The sequence below is a fragment of the Homo sapiens genome, chromosome 11 (assembly GCF_000001405.40).
Source record: "Homo sapiens chromosome 11, GRCh38.p14 Primary Assembly".
Lineage (NCBI taxonomy): Eukaryota > Metazoa > Chordata > Mammalia > Primates > Hominidae > Homo > Homo sapiens.
Window position 1 is genome coordinate 98559261 of NC_000011.10, and position 10362 is coordinate 98569622.

Sequence of the window (10362 nt, forward strand, 5' to 3'; positions counted from 1 at the left end):
AAAACCAAGAACAGGCTTGGGATAGCTGTCTTCTTCTCTATTTCATCATCTTCTCTATTTCAATCGTTTGTCCCTTTAACCTTGGGTTGGCATGCCGCTGCTATTTTTCATTTTGTGTCAAACTCTTCTGTTCCTGGGAGGTGAATCACTTTGGGTAACTGAACTCTTAAAGAACTGAACTGCTCCTGTCTTCATCAGTTTATCAGATACTGGTGCTGACAATTAGCAGTAACAAATACAATTATATGCTCATTTAACAAATTGTTAATCCTTCGTATTTAAAATTAGATTTTCAAGCTTCTTTTTCTTTTTTTTTTTCTGCTTCTGTTCTTTCGAACAATCATCTGTGTGTAAGACTCAATGTATATGATTTGTGTGTGTGTATGTTTGCATGTGTGTGTGCGTCTGTGTAAATCAGAGCACAAGGTGGAAATGCATTATTTACTTAGATTTATTCCTTGGAATGATCCTAGCACGTCTCTTAAATGTGTAGGAAAAGTCACTACAGGTAAACTTTAATGTGATAAACCATGGGCACTCATCAATAATGTATTCTTTCCTTTACTTTTTAAGGACTCGGCTATTTCCTTCCCACTGTACAAGCTCAAAATTTGTTTGTTGAGTTGAAAACATACCCTGGAAACAGAATAGCACAATTTTTAGAAGCATCTAAGTACATTTTATTTTATCTAACTTTATTAACAGATGTTTTGATAGGTTAATTAACTAGTTGCTTCTGAAAACTAGCAGCTTAAAAGTTGAGAAATCAGATTGTTTATTTGGGCTGATAACTAACAGATTTTCTGGAAACTACTCTCAGGCAGCTTCTGAGAGCCTTTCTTCAAAGCCTTGATAGAAGGCAGCTGGCCTTTGAAAATGCACTATCTGAAGTATGCTGAAAACTCACAGGCACCTGTAGGCACAGATGATCCTTCTGTAATGTGAATTACTGGGGACAGACATTGTTGCATTTTTTAGTTCTGAGATTTACAAAAAAGGAAGGTCCCTTTGACCAGGAGCACACAAGGTCAGTATCTCCTTCAAGTCCCATATTTTAGGGACTATGCCACTGGTGTGAAAGTATTTAGGTGGGGAAAGTGCTTCTAAAAAGAGGAAGAGGTTTTGATAGCCTAACAGCCTTAGCTTTTGCTCTGTATATGTTTTTGTGTGATAGATTCTCACTAAAAAAATTACCATATTACTTAAAATTGCTGTATTTTATTCAGAGTTCACATATCTGTGATTTTTTATCTAACAGAACTCAGAGCTAGATGCTTGGGGAAATGTCTTCAGCAAATTCATACGAATAAGAAAAACTGGGTTTTGACATATTTACTGACAGAATATAAAAAAGGACCTGAAGGAGGCAACAATTTTGACAGATTTTGATGGGGGGTTGAGGGGGTCAAAATTTTGAAAGTTTTGTGAAAGTCAAATTTTTCCCTCCTCATCATTACCGTAGCCACTGAGCTAGTATTAAATAACAGTGGGGTGTAATCCATGATACTGGTATATTTCAGGGCAATAGTAGAATGTATTTAAAAAACAAGGTTCCCATGCTGAGAGTATATAAAAAGCACAGACAAACAAAGTTTCAAACATGCATCGTAATGTAAAACTGTTTTCATGAATATTTGATGTATTTATTTTTAAAGAAAATAATGGCACTTGATTGTTGAAAATATTAAAGCAATAAAATTTCAAGACATATACTTCCCACCTCCCAGTCAGCTAAATAAATAAATGTTCATTTGTACATGTAATATTCCAGGTTTTGTTCTTAACCATATTAATATATTTCAGACAATATGATAGATTGGATCTTGTATTGCATTTTCACTGGATAAAATATTATTTGCTACAATGTTGTCACCTTTTTTGGTCTGCTACATTTTATCTTTTTCACTCCCAATCTCAGCTTTTAAATTAATAGGTATTAAGAGTCAAGTATAATGTCACCCTCTACAACTTATGTCATAAATATACAATTCTAATCATGTGTATGCACAGATATATTTGTATCAAGTTACTTATAAAGTCTATTTTACTATTTAGGTTCCCAGCAACTCCCTTTTCATGTTTCACTATAAACTATTGACAGAGACAGGAGACAACCAAATGCTGCCCAGGTGATTGTGCACAGGAGGCTTGCCTAAACATGCCCATGGTGAAAAATTCTGTAGTTTAACACATGAGATTAAGGGAGATAAAGCAATGTGGAGTGGCTCAAACTAAGGACCCGCCTGCTCACTGGGATAATGGGGTGGAACCACCGGAAATTTGTGCCTTTTGCAGCGGGGAGGAGCCTGGCCTCTTCAGCTCATGTGTGGCAGCCTGGTATTCAATCTTGAAGTGGGAGCCTGTTGGCAGGACCCCCTCTTTTTTTGCCGAGAGCTTTCTTTTAATAAATTCCGCTTTCCTCACCTTTCAACATGTCCACATGATTACTTTTTCCTGTTCATGAGACAAGAACCCATATTTTAGCTGAGCTAAGGAGCAAAAACATCCTGCATCATAATGAATATCCTTCTGGAGCAAAAGACAAAAGGAAATTCTCTTTATTAGATGTATCCTATTCCACGGTATATGTGTAATAAAATTTATTGAGATGGTTATTAAAGTCAATTATTATTATTCTTTCATTGCCACTGCAAAACTAATACATATTGCCTTACATACTGATGCTTTTAATTCTATAGGATAGATTTTTGAAGGGTAGGATTGCTATAAGTACATAATAATACATTTTCATACCACATTCCCCAAACTATATACAGTCATCAATCTCCTAGAAGAATATATTAATTCTGACTCACTCACATTCTTGCCAGACTTTGATGTGGTTATGTATAAATTTCATTCTCAAATGTGAAAATACATCTTCTTATTCATCCTTATTCAGTGTCAATATATGTCCAGTTAAGAAAAATCATTAGTAAGCATAAAAATATTGTTTGGTATTAGTTACATTAAACTATATAAGCTTGATTTAAAAATTTATTTGCTTCCTGTAGAAAACTTTACAGTATCTTTTGAAAAAGAAATGTACAAATGTACAAAAAGAAATATACAAAGGTAAAGCTAAGGATAAACAGTTTTACTATGAAATACTGAGGCTGATTCATAAAACATATCATTTATGCTTATTGCAATAATGCCCATTTTTTCCTTGAAAACTGTTCTAAGAAATTATTAGTACCAGAAATATTTTCAGATTAATACTTCTGTTAATTTGATCATTTCAAGCTTTTCATTAGTCCTCATATAAACATCTTCACATCACTTTAATTATTCTAAAAATTACTTATAAATGCTTTTACTACATTATTCTTATAGCAAGAGACTCCTAAATGGAGTGATTAAACTCTATGTGGAGGATCATACCAAAAAGAGTTTCTCTAGTGTTTAGACTGCATTTTCCATTCCTCACCATGCTAGTCTCATTATAAATGCACATAATTCATCAACTTTATTAATAGCAACATTTAGACTTAATATGATTTGGTGCAGACAATGCTTGGTGTTCACACAACATCTTTTGGGGCATAGAGAATACATTCCCAATCCTCTCTTGCAATAATATCTGGAGCAAGTGAAGTAATAGTGTGTTGACGACTGGAAGGTGGACAGAAGCTGTGAAACTAAGGCAAGCAACTTCTAGGCTTGGCTACTTAAACACTTCACAACAATCCAACTTCCTTTCTCTTCTGTGGCTACCTTGAAGCCCTGTATTCCAGATGGCATAGGTATAAGAAGGAAGGGCACTCTGAGGTATGTGGGGGTCAGGTGTATGTGAGAGATACATTTTTAGTGTGTTAATCTTTTAAGAATTGGGGTTTTATACATTATTTTAGTACAGTCTATCTATCTATTTTGACTAAGACATATGGTTTGGAATATCTTTGACGGTCTGACTTATTTTTGTCTCAAAACTCATGTCTTTAACTTCTCAGGCTACATCACCAGGACTTGAAGGACAGCAGCACATCTTTGGTGAGTACCTACTGTGAGGTAATCACTACCTCACACTTTGCTTCTCATGATAAGTTGCTGTCATGTATTACTACTTATAATGTTTTAAATATCCATTTTTGTTTTATTTTTTTCTACACTGGTCTCTATCTAGAACATTCATATTGTCTTTCACTTCTTCTATACCTTTTATTCTTTTGCTGCTATTACTTTTATTTATCATATACTGGGATGGGGTTGGGATAAAATAATAACCAAACCTAATAAAACAATAATAACCAAACATAATAAAAATAAAATAAAACTGTTTTCCTGAGAATCTTACTGTAACACTATAGAATAAGTTCAGTACCTGTTTGGGGGCATTATGAAAAGCTCCATAGTAGTACTCTTTACATCTCATTTAATTATCTGGGTTTCCATGAGGGCAGTGACCAGGTCAATCTTGTATATGCCTGTGGAAAATACTTGGCAAAAAATAGACTTTCCATAAAAATGAGTTGATTCATAAATTAGTTTTTATTTGCAAAGATATGAAACCTCAGCATGTAGTTGTTTTTGAATAGTTTGCTTCTGTAAAATGATTCCATTGATATATCACTTCACAGAGAACAGTAGTAAGAAATAAACTGATGAACTGGAAACTATTTCTTTCTTTATAAACTGTCAGAGTTATGCTTTTATATTTCTCTTTAATACCTAAAATTATGTTTACAGTGGTAGATTAATGTTTACTAACTGTAATAATTTTTCAAGAAATATTTTATTCAAAAATCTGAAAATTCATTTTATACTCATAAATTCTGTCTCCACAATTTAAAATAACTAATTGGAAAGTACTGAGTGAATAATTAATTTAACTTTTCTATACAGTGTCAAAAAAGTTCTGATCTTCTTCATAATGCATGCTCTACATAAACCGCATGTGTATTAAAATTTGGTAAAAATTTGTTTTTCTGAAAAAAAATTTGTCAAGGATATCTATAAAATGTTGTTTGATTAAAGGGAAAACCTCTAAATTCTTATAATCAGCACCCCTGTAGAAAATAAGGACAAAGGAAAACACACACAATACACACAACACATGGCCACACAAATACTGTCATCTACCACTTAATGGTTTATAATATCCTTCAGCAGGATTCCAGAGGCTAGAGGACTAGCTCAGAATAATTAGGGCTTCAAAGTCCTTATCTAGGTTTTTCAGACCATTCAGAGTAGATGTCCTTGTCAGATAATTCTGTCTATGACAAACTAGTCAGAGACTGGAAAAGGGCTGCCTTTAACAACAACAACAACGAAAAAGCCAACTATGTATAGTACAGCTAAATGCAAAAGCAAACAACGCTTTTCAAAGTGTGTATCTGTCACAAAACGTCTTTTCTGAGACTTCTCCTAAATGCTAAGAACACAGTTGCCCTTTCACCTGACTGCTGTGCCCTGCCTGACAATTTATTGGACTACTAGCTTCATAAGGATGCTAACTGGGCACTTGCTCTGTTATTTGGATTCATTAAGAACAAGTGACACTTGAGTCTACAATTGACTTACTTCTTAGACTTCAATAGTTTATTTTTTTCACATGAATATATTATAGTTTATTCAACATGTTTTCATTGACAGAAAATGTGAGGTAAAAGACCACTAAAGGCACTACCTTATTTACTGTATTCATCAAGTTTATCTCTAGGGCAAATTATTTTACCTCCTGAGGGCACACATCTGACAACAGGCAGCACCATGTTTATGTTCCGATTTGCTAGAAACACACTGATGTTTGAGTTGCCACAAAAGGCATTTCCACAGTCGCCGCACTAGTAGGGTTTTCATTCTGCATGAGTTCACTTGTAAGGAAGGAGCTGTGACTCTCCATTACAGGAATTTTCAACTTGACTGATTCTACCCCTTTCTCTTGTGTGCATCTTCTTATATTTGACAAGGTTTGATGAGTGGAAGAAGCCTTTCTCACAATCACTGCATCCATAGGGCCTCTCTCCTGTATGCGTTCTTTGATGTACATTGAGTACTGACTTTGTGGTGAAGGCTTTTCCACATTCATTGCACTCATAAGGTTTCTCTCCTGTGTGAATTCTCTGATGGGTAATGAGACTATATTTGTGTGAATAGGATTTTCCACACTCAGTACATACAAAGGGATTCTTTCCTGTATGACATCTCTCACATTGTATGAGCCATATTTTCTGGCTGAAGGCTTTACCACGTCATTGCATTCATAAGGTTTTTCTCCTGTGTGAGTTCGGTGATGTATAATAAGAGTGCACTTTGTGGTGAAACCTTTACCACATTAATTGCATATGTAAGATTTCTCTCCTGTATGAGTTCACTGATGTATAATGCGAGTGCGTTTGACAGTGAAGGCTTTTCCACATTAGCTGCATATATAAGATTTTTCTCCTGTACGGGAGCACTGATGTACAATGAGATTGCTCTTCACAGTAAAGCCTTTTCCACATTCACTGCATATATGGGGTCTCTCTCCAGTATGAGTTTGCTGATGTACAACAAGGTAGCGCTTCTGGGTGAAGCCTTTTCTACATTCACTGAATATATAGGGTTTCTCCCCCTGTATGAATTCACTGATGTACAATGAGATTGATCTTCACAGTGAAACCTTTTCCACATTCATTGCACACATAAGGTTTCTCTCCACTACAAGTTCGCTGATGAGCAATTAGATAGCGCTTCATTGTAAAGCCCTTTCCACACTCACAGTACATATAGGATTTCTCTTCTGTATAAGTTTGTTGATGTGCAATGAGAATACTCTTCACAGTAGAGCCTGTTCTATATTGATTGGGTATACAGATTTTGTCCCCTATATTAGTTTTCAGATGCTTAGTGAACAGGACACTTCTGGACAATTTCTCACATTGACCACCTCCAGGATTCTCTTCTATGTGAATGTTCTCGTGGTAAATGAGCTGAGACTTCAGAGGAAGGTTTGCTCACATTCAATGAATGCATGGAGTTTCTCAATTTTCTGAGTCCTCTGATGCTTAAAGACTTGGAATTTAGTATGGATCCATTTGCATTTTCAGAAAATCTAGTTTTAGTATTCGTATGTTCATGCTTATCATGTAGAAGGGTTTTCTCACCTCCAATAAACTCCACAAGGTTATTTATTCCATGTCTTCTCTTCTGGTTGATTAAACTTAAAATTGATTTCAATGTTTTTCTGTACAAGTCAAATGTATTATGATTTTGCACTAGAGAAAAATGTGTCTTGCTGAGATGTACAATATTTCTAAATGCATTCTGTCCACTGCATTGCTGCATGCTCTTCAGAAATCACTGGTTTGGAGAGTGCTCTTGCAGATGACTGTCAACTTTCCTGATTCCTGGACAATTTTTATTCTGGACTTTAGCATCTGTTTTCAATGGTTCCCATCCATGCGCCAACTTGGAGAGTGCATCTGGTTTGCTAGTTTGATACCCCAGTGATACCAGGTGGTTAGAGTTCTCCACCATCACATCCTGGTACAGGTCCTTCTGAGCAGTGTTCCAGGAGCTGCCACTCCTCCCGGCTGAATTCAACAGCCACATCCTCCAGGGTCAGTGATTCTGGGTCTTGATCATTTTCTTTTGTGGTCAGAAAATAGTGGATAACATAGACTATACATCTTTGTCTCTTCTGCATTTTCCATGAACTTTTCCTAGTCAGAAATATTAGTGTCCACGTAAAGTTGTCCCCAGAAAATGATGATATCCAAGGCCAGCAACCTCCTTCTTCTTCCGTCATTGCTTCACTTGAGTTATCTTGCTTTTGGGAGCCAGGACCTGAGGGCTGCACCCGAATCTCTCCAGACACTACTGGCAGTGACAAAACATGGCATCCATGTCCGAAACCGCTTCCTATTCAGATGCACTCCTGCGCGGCCTACGGGACGCTGAGCGGTGACGATGATGGAGTGAGGCGTGGACCACAGAGCTAGTCCGGGATCGCGAGTTCGACTGCGGGCGCCGCTCTGCGAGGTCACACGGCTGCGCCCATTGCAGAGTACCGGACAGGAGCGGCTATAATGGCTGTGGAAATCACTCTTGGCCACCTCAGTGCCTTTCTCTCTTTGTTGCCAGGGACACTCAACAGCGCTGGGCTAACCATGTAAGCTTTAAGGGTCGGGTGCCCAGCTAAGGCCAACACAGCGCAGTGGCATTCTATTCAGCCGGTTGGGGGAAAAAAGATGGCGGTGCCAGTTGTTCCGATAGTATTAAAGCACATAATTTAATTCGTATCTGGGTGACCCACAGCCACCTATACTGTCAGTGACTTATATGCAACTGAAACGTATCTGCAGTTTTATATATTGGTATGCTTAAAAATATATGTTGTTTTGCTTAAAAACAAGATAGTTCTTGTTAGAGTTATTGCACTTGAGTTGTTATCAATACCCTATAAAATTTGTGATATAAAACATAGGCACTTAGATATTGCTTTAGAAATAGAGTTTTGTATCACTGAGAACACATTTTGGAAACTTTGCTATGAGACTCTTTCAAGTAAATATCCATATATTGAAGATTCCTTAATTTGACTTAGTGTGACAAAAAGCAATGGCAATATAATATTCTAAAATGACTTTGGAATCAAGAAAAATTGAAGTTGAGGTAGAGTAATACCTCACAAAATAATCAAAAGAGAAATAAAAATATAGGATAACAGATAGTATCTGGAAGAAGATGCCATCAAATAAATCATCTGTGCTGTAATATTACAAATGTACTAGGTAATAACATATAAAAACATACTACTTTTTTTTTTGGCTAAGGAGTAGGATTTTAACTGAAGTGCAGGAAATGAAAAAAAAAAACTGATAAAAGTCTTGAAAGATGATTGCCATAGAAAAGTAAGTATGGTTTTCTTGAACGTTACCAAATAAGAAGGGTATTATCAGTATGCTGTTGTAACATGATATCCAGACTGCCTGCAAGACTCAGCCTTGTGCAAGAGAGCATACGATCAGAAATAGGAGACAGCTGGTGGAATATTGAACCAGAAAGTGATGCCAAGACTGAAGCATTAGTAATACATTGCTGAAATCTGAGACTTTGAAATAATCAAGTAAAGGAGATTAAAACAAAGGGGTGTTAGCACAGAAAGAGAAGAAATTGAAGAGTGAAATAAAGAGTTGGAGGAAATGTGAGAGAGTAGTTATCCACAGGTATAGCTGTTGAAATATTGGGGTTGCTTGCAGGTGTGTTTATTTATTTATTTATTTATTTATTTTTATTTATTTATTTTTTTTTTGATATGGAGTTTTTGCTCTTGTTGCCCAGGCTGGAGTACAATGGCACGATCCCAGCTCGCTGCAACCTCCATCTCCTGGGTTCAAGCCATTCGCCTGCCTCAGCCTCCCAAGTAGCTGGGAGTACAGGCATGCGCCACCATGCTTGGCTAATTTTTGTATTTTTTTTAGTAGAGACGGGGTTTCACCATGTTGGTCAGGCTGGTCTTGAACTCCTGACCTCAGGTGATCCGCCCGTCTCGGCCTCCCAAAGTGCTGGGATTACAGGTGTGAGCCACCGTGCCCAGCTGCAGGTGTGTTTCTAAAGGACCAATTTTAATGAAAAAGAGGTTATTAACTCTGATATGGATTAAATCAACGAATCAGTAAGACTTATTTTTCTCATTGTAAAGCAGAGGTTGTATTACATACCTTACTGAGTTTTGTGAAAATTAGAATTTATTTATAGCTCCTCAATATTGATAGCTATTGTTAAGTGTATGACTTCATTGATCAAAATATTCACCAAAAATATTCATAAATATCTACCATCCATCAGATACTCCATTAGTGCTAGGGGTTTGAAGATAAATAAAATGAAGGCCTACCTCTCACAGGGTCCTAGTCCAGCAGGGAGAGACAGATAAAAAGGGTGAATTGAAGAAATAATAATATGCAACAAAATACTATTACATAGGGTCAATACTAGAAGTCCGTATTTGGTGCTATAAAGGTACAAAACAGGAAGTAGTCAACTTTACATTGGGCAATAGAGCTTTGAAATTAACCTTCAATGCAGTCTTACAAAGTTAATTGTAATGGAGAGGGGCTCTTTACAGTAGGCTGTGTGCAAAAAAACCTATAAGCTTAGAGGCATGCAATGGCCTCATAAATTTGGGAACTATAATCAGCATGATGAAGACGAAGAATGGATGTGACTGAGTAAAGCAAAAGATAAGAAAGTAATGTAGAGCTAGGGGTCATATTATTCAGGTTTTTGTGTGATGTATTAAATAGGGCTGCATTTAAAACTAACCATGGTTAGCAGTATGCACTAAGTGAGGATAGAGAAGTAGATATGAATATACAGCAACTCCACTTTCCTAAGACTGCAAGAGTTGCTTTATTCCCCTCATTAGGGCACTTC

General features: G+C 36.5%; 1 pseudogene, besides 2 other annotated features; it reads right to left on the minus strand.

Annotated features, from left to right (window-relative positions):
• Positions 766 to 966: a silencer, noted in NCBI's record as "peak1423 fragment used in MPRA reporter construct". NCBI's record gives its function as "represses an SCP1 promoter by STARR-seq MPRAs in K562 erythroleukemia cells {active_cell/tissue: K562}" and the evidence as "EXISTENCE:reporter gene assay evidence [ECO:0000049][PMID:32103011]".
• Positions 2066 to 2266: a silencer, noted in NCBI's record as "peak1424 fragment used in MPRA reporter construct". NCBI's record gives its function as "represses an SCP1 promoter by STARR-seq MPRAs in K562 erythroleukemia cells {active_cell/tissue: K562}" and the evidence as "EXISTENCE:reporter gene assay evidence [ECO:0000049][PMID:32103011]".
• Positions 5617 to 7769, minus strand: LOC643381 (zinc finger protein 614 pseudogene; annotated as a pseudogene).
• Between the last annotated feature and the right edge of the window lie 2593 nt (positions 7770 to 10362).